At 52.8% G+C, this 16,962-nt stretch overlaps 1 protein-coding gene across 4 annotated transcripts in view; it reads left to right on the plus strand.

Annotated features, from left to right (window-relative positions):
- The window catches only part of DNAH1 (dynein axonemal heavy chain 1), an 89,573-nt gene that overhangs the window by 8,214 nt on the left and 64,397 nt on the right, over positions 1-16,962 (plus strand). For all 4 annotated transcript variants that reach the window (XM_017006129.2, XM_017006131.2, XM_017006130.2 and 1 more), the window contains 7 exons: positions 3,276-3,642; positions 4,675-4,747; positions 7,007-7,181; positions 7,602-7,758; positions 8,749-8,881; positions 12,015-12,176; positions 13,009-13,261. In XM_017006129.2, coding sequence (XP_016861618.1) covers positions 3,310-3,642; positions 4,675-4,747; positions 7,007-7,181; positions 7,602-7,758; positions 8,749-8,881; positions 12,015-12,176; positions 13,009-13,261 — 1,286 coding nt within the window. In that variant the 5' untranslated portion in view covers positions 3,276-3,309. The remainder of the gene's footprint in view (positions 1-3,275; positions 3,643-4,674; positions 4,748-7,006; positions 7,182-7,601; positions 7,759-8,748; positions 8,882-12,014; positions 12,177-13,008; positions 13,262-16,962) is intronic.

Raw genomic sequence — 16,962 nt, forward strand, 5'->3', positions numbered from 1 at the left:
GGGCCCTAGTTTCCTCAGCTGTAAATTGGCAATAATAGTAGTATCTGCTGTGAGGTTGGAATACCCCTATTCATCTGTGTCTCTTCAGCCAAGTGCTTGGCTACTGGTTGAGTCAAGTGGGGTTGAGTGTCAGTGAATCCAACCAGAAGCTTCCTCTGGCTCAAGCCAATAGGGCTCCCAGGTGATCTGAGTGGGGAGAAAGAAGAACTTGGGTTCAAATTTCAACTGTGGCTCTTGCTGGCTCTGTGACCTTGGGCAGGTCACCTAACTTCTCTGAGCTTCATTTTCCTGCCTCTGAGAAATGAGGATACTCTCAGTTCCCACCTCAGAAGTTTAAATGAGATGATGCATAAAATAAGTCTAAGCCACCAATAACATTCACCATTCCCAACACTGTGCCCACCAGGGCCACCCCTGCCATCTCACTGGCCAGTTCCCTTCAACATACAGGGGGAACTGCCCAGAATGACCAGAGGCAGAAGCCTTGCTGGGAGCCATGTTCTTCTCCCTCCTGCCAGTCACACTCATTCCCAGGCAGAGACTGCTGTCACCCATGAGGCCGCGGCAGGAGGCAGACTGGGTCTTTCTTTCTGTCTGTCTGTCTAGCTCCTGAGTATACTGGTAATGCACAGGTGCACAGAGTTGGGGCAGGGCTGGAAGGGAGCCATTGTGAAGGGCTGAGGGATGGAGGGGAAACAGGTTCTGAGTTTGCAGCTCACTCTCACACCTTCTTTGGGACACACCTCGGTGCATCCCCCCCACTGCCAGCTTGCATGGAGGGAAACAGTTTACCGGGGCAGCAAGTTCACCCATTATGGATTCCTTTTGCCCCCAGCAACCCTGCAGTTTCCTGGACATTTGCACATCTGTTATCTCCGAAGATCCTTATAACTCCTTATAATGCACCAGTAAAGCAAACCAAGCATGTAAGCATGTTCAGGCCCATCTGGGAGCTGAGGAAGTCATGGAATGGAATGCTCTCCTGTGGAGCTGGGACCCTGGCCTCTCCAAGCCCTGCTCTGTTGGGTGATTTTGTTCAAAGATGAAACAGTCATCTGTGGGTTTGCAGCATGATGAAGCTGAGCCCCAAGGCGTCCTCTGTTCTTTAGGGTACTTCGGGAAGTGTTGGTGACTGTTAGACAGGTGGGCCAGACTCGGCATTGTCTTCAGCACCTGTCCTGGGAGGCAGCTGGCCACCAGAGACTGGATTCAGGGAGCAGAGTCCCGCTAGGGGAGGCCGGGCAGGCCCGACTGGCTGGAGGCAGGTCGGCCTTTGGGCTGAATGTCTGGGGCTTCCTGCCAGAGCCCCATCTTTCCTTCTTTGGCCCTCAGGCGCCCTGACAACTCACCACTCACTTCTTAGAAATGGACTCAGCTGCTGCATGCTGCTTCAGCACTGCTGGGTAGTTTTGCTCTAGACAGCCCTGGCCACCCACCCCACTCCTCAAGTCAGTGCAGGCAAGGGCCCCCTGCCATGATCCATCAGGAGGCCTACACTAGCACAAAACACCCAGCAAAAAGAGTGCCCTGTTCTTCAAGCTCTTGGCTCTTTGTCTCAGTGTGCAGAAGGGATGGGAAAATGGGATGGGGCCAGGGAAGGGGGGCTTGCTTGGGCTAGGCCTCTATTTCCTTTCATTAAGATGCTTTCCTTTTCTTTCTTTCTTTCCTTTTTTTTTTTTTTTTTTTTGACGGAATCTCGCTCTGTCGCCTAGGCTGGAATGCAGTGGCATGATCTTGGCTCCTTGCAACCTCTGTCTCCCGGGTTCAAGCGATTCTCCTGCCTCAGCCTCCGGAGTAGCTAGGATTACAAGTGTGCACCACCACACCCAGCTAATTTTGTATTTTTAGTAGAGATGGGGTTTTGCCATGTTGACCAGGCTGGTCTCTAACTCCTGATCTCAAGTGATCCACCCACGTCAGCCTCCCGAAGTGCTGGGATTACAGGCATGAGCCACCAAGCCTGGCCATTTCTTTCTTTTTTCTTTTTTCTTTTTTTTTTTGAGATGGAGTTTTGCTCTTGTCACCCAGGCTGGGGTGCAATGGCGCGATCTGAGTTCACTGTAACCTCTGCCTCCCGGGTTCAAGTGATTCTCCTGCCTCAGCCTCCCACGTAGCTGGGATTACAGGCATGTGCCACCACACCTGGCTAATTTTGTATTTTTAGTAGAAATGGGGTTTCACTGTGTTGGTCAGGCTGGTCTCAAACTCCTGACCTCAGGTGATCCACCCGCCTCGGCCTCCCAAAGTGCTGGGATTATAGGAGTGAGCCACCGCCCCGGCCTCTTTTTTTCTAATTGCAATTTTTATTGAGGTAATTGTAGACCCCCTTTTTATTTTTTGCACTAGCATTATGTACAAACCTCTTCTTCACCATACCCTTGTCCAATTTCTTGTCATGTTCTCCTGCCCAAGGATTCTCCGTGGTGATGAATTTTGAGGTAGCCAAAAGCAACAGTGGCTTTGCAAGGGCTTGCTCCTCCCACAATAAAAACTCTATAAACCCTTGTCCTCCAGGTGGTGGATGTGCATGCACCCTGGCGGCATCTGCTGCTCCCTTTGCATAAGACGGGAGGGTATACGTTTCCTGAGCTGATCTGACTCTGAGAGCCAGGGTGGGTGAATGCTATTTTGTTGCTGGTAGAGGGATCTGTGGGCCAATGGAGGGTCAGGATTGGGGTCCTGCTGGGGAGACCATTTAGTCCTCTGGCTCCAGGGTATGGGGGGAGGTCGAGTGGGCAAACACAGGGGAGGCAGGGCATGGTCCAGCGCTCACAGGTGCTAGGGAGGCTCATGCACCACACTGGGAAAAGGTAGGGAAGTCTAGCAGGGATGGGCTGGGGGTGCCAGGGCTGCTACTGGCTGAAAGTCATTTTAGGGAAATTTATTGGGTGAGCAAGCTCTGGGCCTCCCTCCCCATCTCCTGCTACTGAGAAGTCAGGCCTTGCTCTATAAAATGGGGGAGAGGGGTGGACAAGTGCAGTCGCATGCATGGGTTGGGGGCATCTGCAGTGTTTCCCCTCACTCAGCCCTTAACTCTGGGTGGGCTCATTTCTCACATGCAGTGTCCAGGGCAGGCCCCACCCCATCTCCTGGTGGGACTCGGGGTACTGTATGCCTGTCCAGATTAGGAGGAGACCACTCCCTCCTTCTTGCTCTTCTGTTACCCATGGGTCATGGGCTGGGGCTTGTGGCAGGCAGGCAATCTAGGCATCCATGTGTCTCGGGGCTAAGACAGAGGCTGGCAAGGGCTGACTGACGCTGGGTTCTTCTCCTAGGAGCTTCGGCTGGGGCATCTCCCTGAGAAGCAGCATGGAGCAGCCTAACAGTAAAGGCTATAGCCTGGGAAGGACCCCTCAGGGCCCAGAGTGCAGCAGTGCTCCTGCAGTCCAAGTGGGGACCCACAGGGGCCTAGAGTATAACCCGGGGAAGATTCTTCCAGGATCAGACTATGGGTTGGGAAATCCTCCAGCCCTTGACCCCAAGCTCCCACATTTACCCCTGCCCCCGGCCCCACCCACACTCTCAGACTTGGGGCAGCCACGGAAGTCACCCCTGACAGGCACTGATAAGAAGTACCCGCTGATGAAGCAGCGTGGGTTCTACTCCGACATCCTCAGCCCTGGAACCTTAGATCAACTTGGGGTGAGTATGGCAGCCATCCCCTACCAAGCCTCAACCCTTCCTCTGGGCTCCGTTCACCCATCCTTTCATCCTTCTCCCCATCAGTCAGTCCATCTGTTCATTTAGCTGTCTATCGATCTATCCATCTGTCTTTCTATCCATCTACCCCCTATTATCCCCTCATCCATCCTTCCATCCATTTTTCTCACCACCCATGCATCTGTCCATTCATTCGACAACTCATTACTGAGCTCCTGCTGTGTGCCAGGCCCTGGATGGAGCCCTGGAGATGCAGCAGGGATGAGACGCCCACGTCCCTATTGTCATTGTTGTGGGGCAGTGGCTTTGGTAGGGAAGACCCCTTCCCCTGGCTCTGGTTGGGAAGGTTCCACAGATGAGGTGATGTACTGCTGAGATCTAAGAGACAGGATGTAAGAGTGGGGCCTGGGAGCATGTTCCAGGCAGGGGGAGACAACAGGTACAAAGACCTGGGGTCCCTGAGAGAGGGCACGGCTGTGTGAAGAAGAAGGCTAGAATGCGAGGGGAGAGATCGAGGGAGGAGGCTGGGGGCAGGGAAAAGAGAGGGGGGAATGACGAGGAGAGAATTCAGAGTCCTGTAGGTCCCAGGCAGCCTTAGGCTTTAGGCCAGGGAGGGGCCAAGAAAGACAGGGTGAGGACCACCTGATATGCATTAAACCTGCAGTGCCAGTGGCCCTTGGGAGAGGAGGTATGTACAGAGATACCTGCTGGCCTTGCAGTACCTGCTTCATGGCTCAGCCCCGGGATGCACTGTGGAGTGTTCTCAGATCAAGGAGGGGAGCTGGGCTGGACCAGAATGGGGTGGGGCCAGGAAGTCCTGGGTAGCCACAGCTTGTTGCCCACTGTGGCCTTTGAACGGGGAATTGTGCATACTCACTGGTTCTGCCCACTCCTGTGCTCCTGGAGTGCTCCCTGGTGGGTCTCAAGGGAGGCGCCTGGGCTCGGGGTCCCTCCCGGGTCCTGCCTGTCCCTGGGAGGTTGACACATACTCAGGGCTCCATGGTTTGGTTTCAGGAGGTATGTCGTGGCCCCCGAATGAGCCAGAACCTCCTGCGGCAGGCTGACCTTGACAAGTTCACCCCAAGAGGTCAGTGCTCAGGAGGGCTGTGTGAGTGGGTCCCGGTAGGTATTTCAAAGCAGGCTTTTGGCCTCAGGGAGACAGCCTTTTCTTGGCTGTGGGCCCCAGCTTCCTTAACTGTGGAGCGGGGATAATAAGAAACAGGGTGCTTCACAATTACCCACTCATGGTGAGTGCTCAGTCAGCCACAGCTACCGAGTCATTACTCTTAGTGGAGCCATGACCTTGATGCTGGGCTGGGCTGGGCTGCCAGGGGTCAGAGCCACAGCTTTCTTTCCCTGGCTGAGGTCAGAAGGGCATATGGGTGTATTTTCTGCCTCCTGTGGAATGTGGGCCCTGAAGAGGCCAGGACTGTCTGAGTTGCTTCCTGCTGGAGACCCAGCACCTAGAACAGGACCTGGCTCAGATAGATGCCTGGGAGATCCCTGCTGAAGGAGGAAAGGGGGACTCTCCTCTCAGGCTCATGGAGAGTCTCAGAGCACAGCTAGGGTGGCGAGGACTGGGACAGGCCTGCAGGGTGTGGGGCCTTCCCCAGTGGCAGAGGGGAGAACAGGGGCTCCAGGAGAAGCTCTGAGTGGTGGTGAGGAACTGCGCAGGTGGCCTCCCACCTGGCCAGGGTTTGTGCCTCTCCCCTGGCAGACAGGACGTCCCCTTGGATCAGGCCCAGATGCCCTGTGGCTGCCCCTGTCCGCCCCTCCTCCCCACCCCCAGGAAAGACCTGGCTCCTTCCTGCCGCTGTCCACACCAGTCCTCTTGGAGCCCACAGGCCTTAGAAAACATCACGAGCATGTACATTTGCGCACTTATCTGAGGGTCTGGCCTATTGTTTCCAACAGTCTCACAAGTATCTGTGACCCAGAAAATGGTTACTAACCGCAGATCTCAGCACTGGGGGTATTGGGAATGGTGCTCCTGCCACACATGGCAGGGTGGGCTGGGGGTGATTGGCAGATGGCAGCTCTACCCACATGAGAAAAAGCAGCCCCCAGCGGCACAGGGTAGTGTCAATCAGGGCTCTCAGCAACCAGTAGTGGACATTCACTCTGCTGCCCGAGGGCTGGGGTAGCCTGCCCCGGCCCGCGGACGCAGCAGGGTCTGGAGGCCAGGCATGGGTCTCTTCGCCCTGGCTCCTTCTTGGCCACTGAGTGGGTCCTGGGGGTGGAGTGGTGTCACGCAGCCTCAAGAGCTGGTGATTAGGGCTCTGAAAACAGCCTTCTTGGCAGCCCTGAGATCTGGGCATTTTTGATGCAAAGAGGGAGGTCCCTTGACTACTCAGCAGCCTGGTGAGAGCAGACTCCAGCTAATGGTGGAGGCTCCGCTGAGCCTTGGACACTGCCCAGGCACCACCTCTGGTGGCCTCTGTGGGACCCCAGATGCCACTCCCAAGGTGGGCCCTCCTGCAGCATGACCACCTCTTGGTCCCAGGGAGGCAGTAAGGCCCAAGGAAGGGGTCACCAGGGCCCCTGGGACTCTGGACCCTTCTTCCAACTGGAAAATAGAGGGGACCATCAGGAGGCTGCCCAGAGCCCACCCAGGCCCTGGGAAATGTGGCCATCCCCTCCTAAAGCAAATGCCCACACCCCTCTCCCCACCTCTGTGGTCTCACTTTGCCTGGGACTTTCTTCTCCATTGATTATCTGGTGTCACAGGCAAACTGAGATGGATGGTCACCCTATCAATGGGTCTCTCCCCACCAACTCCCCTTCCCCCAGGTATGGAATGGAAGCCTCTGTATACCCTGCTCATCTAAGTAGCGGCAGTCATTTTTTGACTTGAGGGTCCTGCAGGGCTGGAGTAGTGGAGCCACCCACAGTATCCAGGATGCCTCAAGCTGGCAATGGCCTCAGGGAATGAATATCAGACTCCAATATGCTGAGGGGGCCTCTGCAGTAGGGGTGGGAGGAGACCATCCCATTTCATCTTCCTATCCAGTGGTAACACTCTCCCTTGTTGAACTCAACACCTGGCTTGAGCAATGGCCCCTGGTGCTGGGTGGTGTGGAAAGGAGTGGTCAAGCATGCTGGCTCTGGACAGGGAGAGCAGGGCTAGGACAGACCTTCTGGAAGCCACCATCCCTCCAGGCTCATAGCCCCAGGACACCTGGTGCCATGCCTGTGTTCTCCCAGCCACTGCCCAGCCACAGGCAAGCTTTGAGCTTCCCACACTCCAAAGCATACTACCTGGTTGGTAATTTATTTTATGGGGTGGAGGCTGGTTTTTGGGTGCTGGCCTGAGCCCTGAAGCCCCTGCCCCTGCTTCTACCTGCAGTCGGAAGCTTTGAGGTTCCTGAAGACTTCCAGGAGCGCATGGAGCAGCAGTGCATCGGGTCCACCACCCGGCTGCTCGCCCAGACTGACTTCCCACTGCAGGCCTACGAGCCCAAGATGCAGGTGCCTTTCCAGGTGCTGCCAGGCCAGCATCCTCGCAAGATTGAGATCGAGAGGTACGGCTGGGTGGGCTGTGGGGAGACTGTCGGGGAGGTGGCATCCACCCGCCTCAGGGGATGAGGAACTGCAGATCACCAGGTGATAATCCTCATGGCAGAGCCTGTGCACAAGTGTTTAGATCGAATCTTCTAGCCCTTTGGTGTCTTAATAGGAACAATTTACGTTATGGAGTTGGGGAAGGTGGCATTGAGGTCAATGAATGGGACTGCGGGGCGGGACAGAAGGGCAGTTGGAGCCCAGGACACCAGCCCCAGCCACCACACCACTTCCTGATGAGTCTCAGAGGGGTGGAGGGCTCCAGAGGGGTCTCTCGGCCACACCCCTGTCCCCACAACCCCGTAGGCCCTTGTGGACACCCATGGAGCCACCTCACACGAGCCAAGCCATCCTGAGGTCCCCTCCCTGCCCTTGACCAGGAGGAAACAGCAGTACCTGAGCCTGGACATTGAGCAGTTGCTGTTCAGCCAGGGCATCGACTCCAACAAGCTCATGCCCAGGCACCTGGACCACCAGCACCCCCAAACCATCGAACAGGGCCATGACCCAATCTTCCCCATCTACCTCCCACTGAAGGTGAGCCGGGCTTCCACAGATGGTTGAGAGACAGGGGCAGAAGTGCAGGACCCCAGTGGACGCTCAGGAGTCAGATCTGAAAGGGGATTCCCCCACCAGTCACCAGCACACTCTTGTCAAACAGGGCAGGTCAACAATAGGAACCCATCCCAGGTACTTTGAGCATCCTAGATGGGGCAGGTGGGGCCCCCAGCCCCCCTAGAATGCTGAGTCTTTGCTTCTTCCCTGGGCAGCCTGTATGCCTGGCCTCGGCCTCCGTGCCACCCATGGGCAACCTAGATGCGGCCCAGCTGGACTGTGGAGTATCCTCCCTGACCAGTGCCCGCCTCAGGGTAGGCAGCTGCTTCTGGGCTCACTGAAATGGGAAGAGCAGGGATGGAAGAGGGAATCAGTGCCACCCCCGTGGGGTATAAATCAGGAAACGAATCCAGGGAGGAGAAAGAGGGAGCATGGCCTGGCTCTGGCTTTCACCCACCTCCCCTCCTCTCCTCTCTGCGGCCCTGAGTGTCTCTCGCCTGGTGGTCCCTGTAAGGAGGTAAAGCTGAGTCTAGCTAAGGGCTACCTCCTGACAGCCCCGAATCTCACCAGTTCCAAGTTGGAGTAGGGTCCCCAGGAAAACCCAAGGGCCACCTCTTCCCTTGGTCCTGAGCTAGGTGGCCCTGGGCAGTGGGAGAAAGAACCCACCACCTGCTCTGGGTCCCTGGACACCCCTCTGCCTGAGCCTCAGGTGGCTTGGCTGGATGGGGATCCAGGGTTTCACCCAACCAGATGCTGTGTACCCCTGGGAGCAGCAGTGGAGAGGCTCAACCCCCAGTCCTAGCAGTGGAGAGGGTCAGCCCCCAGTGGAGAGGGTCAGCCCCCAGTGCCACCTTGCAGCTCTCTCACCTGGGGAGGGTATTACTTAGGCACCCCATCCTTTGGCACACCCAGTCCCACCTGGGCCCCACTAGAGGAGCTGCTTCTTCCCAATGTTGGCCTGCTTTCTTCCAGGTATTTGACAATGAGGACTTTGACTGCCGGACTCCCAGAGAGTGGATCAACATGGGCTTGGAGCCAGGGTCTCTGGACAGGAAACCTGTCCCGGGAAAAGCCCTCTTGCCCACTGATGACTTCCTGGGGCATGGTGAGCAAGGCCACTCTGGAGTGGGGACACTATCTCATTCCAGTAGCAGCCCTGTCACAGACTCCTGGGCTCCCCTGGGACCTGGCAGCCACCGGAGGCGAGGGGTCTTTCAAGACCTCTCAGCTGGTAGACAGGCCTAGAAGCTGGCCTCACAGAGGCAGGAATGCAGGGACCAGGGAAAACATCGTTGGGAGAGCTGGAAAAGGGACAGCTGGATGGTGTCTAGTGTTTTGAAAAATCTTTGATTTATTGGTAGTAAAATATGTACATGCTCATTGGGAATATTGAAACATGCACGAGGGGCACAATTCCACTCTCCATCCCTCCACCCAGAAGCCCCATTGTTGCAGCTCTAACCATGGCCTCTCAGCTTTCACTTTTGTGTGCACAACACACACCATCACACACTTGCTCACAAACACAAATCCCCATCATCACACACATTGACAAGCACATTCACTGTCATACACACCCCCAACAACCTCTCTTGTGTACACATTTTCACCACACAGAAACACACTCTCCTATTGTCACCCATCCACAACCACTGTCACACCTCACCATGCCCACTTGATGCCACACAGGTTTGCCTTGTCTTGGCCTTGTCAATAATCTGCCCAGGGAGTGCCCTTGGCTGCTCCTTTGGCCTCAGGCCTGCCCCAGCGGCTGTGGAGGCTCTCCCATTTCCTGCTGTGGAAAGCAGTGCCAGGTGGGCATCCGCAGCTGACATCTCGGCCTGCACGGCTGGGTGTCGATGCAACATCCTAGGAAGGTGTGGGCCATCATTTGGGAAGTTGGAGGTGGCTGTTCCCCTGTGCAGGGCTGAAGGCTGCTCTGCTCCCCACCTGGTGGGTGGACAAGATGCTGTGAGTTGGGAGTGGGCCCAGTAGGCCAGCTCCAGGTGGGAAGCAGGGTTGTGATAGCCATGACTGGTTTTAAGCCTGCCCAGTGAGTCCATTGAGCAGGCTGTAAATTTATGTTTCATTTTAAAAACATCTTAATGCTAGAATCAATTTCTCTGAACTAGACAAGAAGCCCAGAATGTTACCTTTACTTTGGACTTAATTACAAAAATAATTTAACTCAATTGTTCCCAGATCGCCAATTCCTGGTGATAAAACCAGAAGGTTTGGGGCTGCATTAGCCTTAAATGCACCAAGTAGCAGCCTCCATCGAGGTGCTCTGCTTACACCCCTTCACATGGCCCTGGTCTGGGGTGGTGGCCCAGGTGGGAGGAGGGGTGAGCAGGGAGAGGCTCTGCTGGGGACCTCTTGTTTTCTGCTGGGAGCTTCCAGTGACATCTTTTCATCTGAGTTGAGCCGAGACAAGGCCAGTATTTTCAGAAAGGCAACCTACTAGGAAGGGAAGGGAAAAGCAAAACAGAGAAGCAAAATAGGTGAGCTATAGACCTTGTTTACCATCCTTTACTCAGCTAGCTGGTGTCAACAGGTGGGGAGCATTTCCTGAGAATTCCAGCCCTTCCTTCCTCAACCTAGTCTGTAGAACTCAAACAAAACAAAAAAAACCAGGGGGCCAGGCGTGGTGGCTCATGCCTGTAATCCCAATACTTTAAGAAGCCAAGGCAGGCGGATCATGAGGTCAGGAGTTCAAGACCAGCCTGAACAACAGATGAAACCCCGTCTTTACTAAAAATACAAAAATTAGCTGGGCATGATGGTGTGCACCTGTAATCCCAGCTACTCGGGAGGCTGAGGCAGGAGAATTGCTTGAACCTGGAAAGCGGAGGTTGGAGTGAGTGGAGCTCGCGCCATTGCACTCCAGCCTGGGCAACAGAGTGAGACTCCATCTGGAAAAAAAAAAAAAACAGAAACAAACAAAACAAAAATAAACAGTTTTTATCTCGGCTCACTGAAACCTCCACCTCCCAGGTTTAAATAATTTTTGTGCCTCAGCCTCCCAAGTAGCTGGGACTTCAGGCACACATCATTACTCCCAGCTAATTTTTTTGTATTTTTGTAGAGACGGGATTTTACCATGTTGCCCAAGGTGGTCTCGAACTCCTGAGCTCAGGCAATCCGCCCACCTCTGCCTCCCAGAGTGCTGGGATTATAGGCATGAGCCACCGCGCCTGGCCTCAGTTTGTTTTTAAGCCACTATGTATTGCGGCTGCTCTGCTGGGCACCATATGTGTGCATCTTCCTTCTGCAAAAGTTTATCGAACACCTGCAAGGTACTAGTTTCCATTCCAGGCCCAGGGACACAGCTGTGACTGAGATGGGACAAAGTCGCTCCTGCCCTTAGTGAGTTGACACTAGTGTGAGCAGGTCAGCTGTGAACCAGGAGCTGATGCATAAGTAGTGTGACTTTCGGCACTGTGAGGAACAGAATGGGGTAACAAGTCAGAGAGTGCCTGGGACAGGGGTGCTATTTTAGGCACAGAGGCTTCTCCTTGGAGAAGGGAACAACCAGCAATGAGGCGACCTGAGTGGAGAGTGTTCCAAGCCGAGGGCACAGGCAGTGCAGAGGCTCTGCCGTGGGAACAAGGTCGAAACTCACAGGAATAGCCAGACATCCAGTGTGGCTAGAGAGAAATGAGTGAGGGGCAGCGGTGGGAGGTAAGCTAGAGAAGTGGGCACAGGCTTTCAGCCCAGGAAACCAGTGGGAGGCCAATCCTGACCAAAGAGCGGCTCCTGCCCTGCCCTGCCCTGCCGTGCCCTGTTCTCAGATGAGGGGCCCAGGGACTGAGCAGCCAGGGGCAGCCTGTGGGGAGGGCTTCACCCTGGCCATGGTCACCTTGAAGGGGGTCCAACTCATTCCTGACCTTTACAACTGGGTTCTCAGCAGGTCTCCTTTAACTTGGGGCTTTCGTGCCACCTGTCCCAGCCTCCCATTGGCCTGTGTGTCTCTCTGCCCTGGTGGAGGTTGTGCTGAGCACCAGGGCAGAGAAGCCTGGTCTTTCTGGCTCCTTCTGCAGCACGGGGTTCCTCAGAGGCGAGCTCGGCTGGGAGGAAGCAGGGCCCTGGCTCTGCTGGAGCAGAGGGGGGCATCCCAGCGGGAGAGACGCCAGACTGGTGATCTCTGAGACCCATTCCCAGCGATGCTGCCAGCACTCAGAGGCCCCTTCCTGCCCCCATGGCGGGGGGCACTGGTGGAGTTTCTCCTCCTGTTTCAGAGGACCCCAAGAGTCAGAAGCTGAAGTACAAATGGTGCGAGGTCGGCGTCCTGGACTACGACGAGGAGAAGAAGCTATACCTGGTACACAAGACAGACGAGAAAGGCCTGGTGCGAGATGAGATGGGGAGGCCCATCCTGAATGCAGGGGTCACCACTGAAGGTATGAGGTCCTGCCGCTGCCCCAGGCAGAACCCCAGCTTGGGCCTGGCCGGCCTGTGACTGAGGCCAACTCCGCCCAGGGCACTGCCAGATCAGGTCTGAATTCTACTTTTCTGTTTGCCCAATGCCCTGACCGGTGAGGACCAGAGGACTCATCACTCAGAGACCCCAGAAAGGGCAAGTGGCCATTATTTGGCATGTCAGCTCTGAGCCCAAGTCCCATCAATAAGCGATGCCTGCCCTGGGTGTGGGATCAAGGGATGGGCACTTGAACAGCCATGCCTGTATAACTCCTTGTCTAAATACTTTTCTTTTTTTTTTTTTTTTTTTTTTTGAGATGGAGTCTGGCTCTGTCACCCAGGCTGGAGTGCAGTGGTGCAATCTTGGCTCATTGTAACCTCTTCCTCCTGGGTTCAAGTGATTCTCGTGCCTCAGTCTCCCAAGTAACTGGGATTACAGGTGCCCACGACCACACCCAGCTACTTTTTTGTAATTTTAGTAGAGACAGGGTTTTACCACGGTGGCCAGGTTGGTCTCGAACTCCTGGCCTCAAGCATCCTCCCTCCTTGGCCTCCCAAAGTGCTGGGATTACAGGTGTCAGCCACCACGCCCCAGCCTTGTCTAAGTGCTTTCACATCCGTCCATGACACCTTGTGAGATGGGCCGGGCAGGAAGTGTCGTCATGCCCATTTCACAGATGCAACAGGGGGTCAGAAGAGGGAAACAATTTGTTCAGGGCCACTGGGCATCCACGGCACAGCCGGCCGGAACCTAGTGTTTCAGCCCAGAAAGCCTGATTGTGTGTCCCCTTCTCCCTCTCACCCGGCCCCCAGGAAGGCCACCCCTTCAGGTCTGTCAGTACTGGGTGCCACGGATCCAGCTTCTCTTCTGCGCTGAGGACCCTTGCATGTTCGCACAACGTGTGGTCCAGGCCAACGCCCTGCGCAAGAACACGGAAGCACTGCTGCTCTACAACTTGTATGTGGACTGCATGCCCTCTGACGGCCAGCATGTCATCAGTGAACAGAGCCTGAGCAAGATCAAGCAGTGGGCCCTGAGCACGCCTCGGATGCGCAAAGGCCCCTCGTGAGTCCCCGCTCGGCCTTCCCTATTCTGGGCATCACCTTCTTCAGGGAACCTTCCCATAGGAAGTTGGTGCTACTCCAGGGTGGAGCTCCCTCAGGGCTCATCTGTTTGAGACTGTCCTGGCTATTGCCCTCTGGACTTGTTGGGGCCTCAAACAATTTTTTGTTCATCTCCAGATCCCTCATTATCCATATGGACTCCTGGATCCTTATTTTATTCAAAGGGTTACAATTGACTACTTTTTAAAAATTTTGATGCTCAAATTGTCCTAGATTTGGCCAGCGGGAGACTTTTCAAGCTAATTCCTGTGTCGCCTTACCATGTTTCCATCATTCTTCAAAACCCTTAGATGATGATTTATTAGCAAGATGCCCCTAAGATAACTTTACTTTCTGGCACAGCAAGAATTTCCAGGCTCATTGTGTACTTTCCCAGGTCCAGTCCTGAAACCAGCTGTTTCTCCAAGGAAGCTCTTTTTATTTATTATTTTAGTTTATTTTTTGAGACAGGTTCTTACTCTGTCACCCAGGCTGGAGTGCCTGGAGTGCAGTGGGGCCATCTTGGCTCACTGTAGCCTCAGTTTCCTGGGCTCAAGCAAGCCTCCCACCTCAGCCTCCTGAGTAGCTGGGACTTAGGCATGTACCACAACATCTGGCTAATTTTGTTATTTTTTGTAGAGACAGATCTCCCTATGTTGCCCAGGCTGGCCTTGAATGCCTAGGCTCAAGTAAATCTCCCACCTTGGCTTCCCAAAGTGCTGGGATTATAGGCATGAGCCATCATGCCCGGCTGGAAGTTCCTTTTAGTTGAGGAATTATATTTAGAAGCCAAGATCTGGGCATTAGATGTGCTCATTGCTACTGGGATATCATTGCTTTGAGACTCCCACAGCAGACAGATCTGGGAAATATATATACAGATGGTCCCCAATTTATGATAGTTTGACTTACCATTTTTCTTTTTCTTTTCTTTTCCTTTTCTTTTCTTTCTTTCTTTCTTTTTTTTTTTTTGAGATGGAGTTTGACTCTTGTCACCCAGGCTGGAGTACAGTGGCTTGATCTTGGCTCACTGCAACCTCCGCCTCCCAGGTTCAAGAGATTCTCCTGCCTCAGCCTCCTGGGTAGCTGGGATTAAAGGCACCCGCCACTATGCCTGGCTAATTTTTGTAGTTTTAGTAGAGATGAGATTTCACCATTTTGGCCAAGCTGGTCTCGAGCTCCCGACCTCAGGTAATCCACTCGCCTTGGCCTCCCAAAGGGATTACAGGTGTGAGCCACCATGCCCAGCCAACTTACCATTTTTCAACTTTATGATGGTGTGAAAGTGATATGCATTCAGTAGAAACTGTACTTCAAGCATGCACACAACCAATGTTTTTTTTTCATTTTCAGTACAGTATTCAATACATTTCAAGAGATTTTAAACACTTTATTATAAAATAGGCTTTGTGTTACATAATTTTGCCCAATTGTAGGCTAATGTGAGTGTTCTGAGCATATTTAAGGTAGATTAGGCTAAACTATGGTGTTCAGTAGCTTAGGTGTATCAAGTGCATTTTAAACTTATGATAAGTTTAGTTGGAATGTAGCCCCACTGTAAGTAGAGGAGCATCTGTAGTTTTATAGTCATGCATCACTTAATGATAGGGACATGTTCTGAGAAATGTGTCATTAGGTGATTTCATCATTGTGCAAACATCATAGTGTGTACTGACACAGACCTTGATGATATAGCTGGCTGCACACCCAGGATATATGGTACAGCCTAGTGCTCCTAGGCCACAAACCTATACAGGCTGTGATTACTGAATACTGCAGGCAACTGTAACACAACGGCAAGTATTCATGTATCTAAACATAGAAAAGGTACAGTAAAAATACAGTATACAAGATAAAACATGGTACATCTATGTAAGGCACTTACCATGAATGGAGCCTGCAGGGCTGGAAGTTGCGGTGGTTGAGTCAGTGAGTGAGTGGTGACTGAACGTGAAGACCTAGGATATTACTATACACTACTGCGGACTTGATAAATACTGTATACACTTAGGCTACACTAAATTTATTTTAAATTTTTCTTTCTTCAATAATAAATTAACCCAACACACCTTAGGGCCAGGCATGATGGCTTACATCTATAATCCCAGCACTTTGGGGGGCCAAGGTGGGTGGATTGATTGAGGCCAGGAGTAGAAGACTAGCCTGGCCAACATGGCAAAACCCCATCTCTACTAAAAAAAAATACAAAAATTAGCTGAGCGTGGTGGCACACGACTATAATACCAGTTACTTGGGAGGCTGAGGCCCTAGAATCGCCTGAACCTGGGAGGCAGAGGTTGCAGTGAGCTGAGATTGCGTCACTGCACTCCAGCATGGGTGACAGAGTGAGACTGTCTCAGAAAAATGTATGTAATTAATTAATTAACTAACTTTAGCTTACTTTAACTTTTCTTTCTTTCTGTTTTTTTTTTTTGAGACAGAGTCTCGCTCTGTCGCCCACGCTGGAGTGCAGTGGCGTGATCTCTGCTCACTGCAAGATCCGCCCCCCGGCGCCCGCCACCATGCCCGGCTAATTTTTTTGTATTTTTAGTAGAGACAGGGTTTCACCATGTTCGCCAGGATGGTCTCGATCTCCTGACCTCGTGATCCACCTGCCTCAGCCTCCCAAAGTGCTGGGATTACAGGCATGATCTATAAGCTTTTTAAAAAAATGTGTGATTTTTTTTTTTGCTTTTTAAACAAAAAAAGCAATGTGTGATTTTTTTTTTTTTTTTTTGCTTCTCTCCCGAGTAGCTGGAATTACAGGTGCCTGCCACCACACCCAGCTAATTTTTGTATTTTTTAGTAGAGACGGGGTTTCACCATGTTCGCCAGGATGGTCTCGATCTCCTGACCTCGTGATCCACCTGCCTCAGCCTCCCAAAGTGCTGGGATTACAGGCATGATCTATAAGCTTTTTAAAAAAATGTGTGATTTTTTTTTGCTTTTTAAACAAAAAAAGCAATGTGTGATTTTTTTTTTTTTTTTTGCTTCTCTCCCGAGTAGCTGGAATTACAGGTGCCTGCCACCACACCCAGCTAATTTTTGTATTTCTTAGTAGAGACGGGGTTTCACCATGTTGGCCAGGTTGGTTTTGAACTCCTGACCTCAGGTGATCCACCTGCCTCGGCCTCCCAAAGTGCTGGGATTATAGGTGTGAGCCACCGCACCCGGCCCTTTTGCTCTTTTTCCCTTTTGTTTTTTGTTTTTTGTTGTTTTGAGATGGAGTTTTGTTCTTGTTACCCATGCTGGAGTGCAATGGCGCAATCTCAGCTCACTGCAACCTCTGTCTCCTGGGTTCAAGTGATTCTCCTGCCTCAGCCTCCTGAGTAGCTGGGATTACAGGCATGTGCCACCACGCCCAGATAATTTTGTATTTTTAGTAGAGACGGGGTTTCTCCATGTTGGTCAGGCGGGTCTCAAATTCCTGACCTCAAGTAATCTGCCCACCTCGGCCTCTGAAAGTGCTGGGATTACAGGCCTGAGCCACCGCACCCGGCCCCTTTTTCCCATTTTTTAAATAGAATTATTCATTTTTTTCCTTGTACAGTTGTTTAAGTTTCTTATAGATTCTGGATATTAGACCTTTGTCAGATGCATAGTTTGTGAATATTTTCTCCAGTTCTGCAGGTTGTCTGTTTACTCTGTTGATACTTTCTTTTG

This window comes from Homo sapiens, chromosome 3 (genome assembly GCF_000001405.40).
Source record: "Homo sapiens chromosome 3, GRCh38.p14 Primary Assembly".
NCBI lineage: Eukaryota > Metazoa > Chordata > Mammalia > Primates > Hominidae > Homo > Homo sapiens.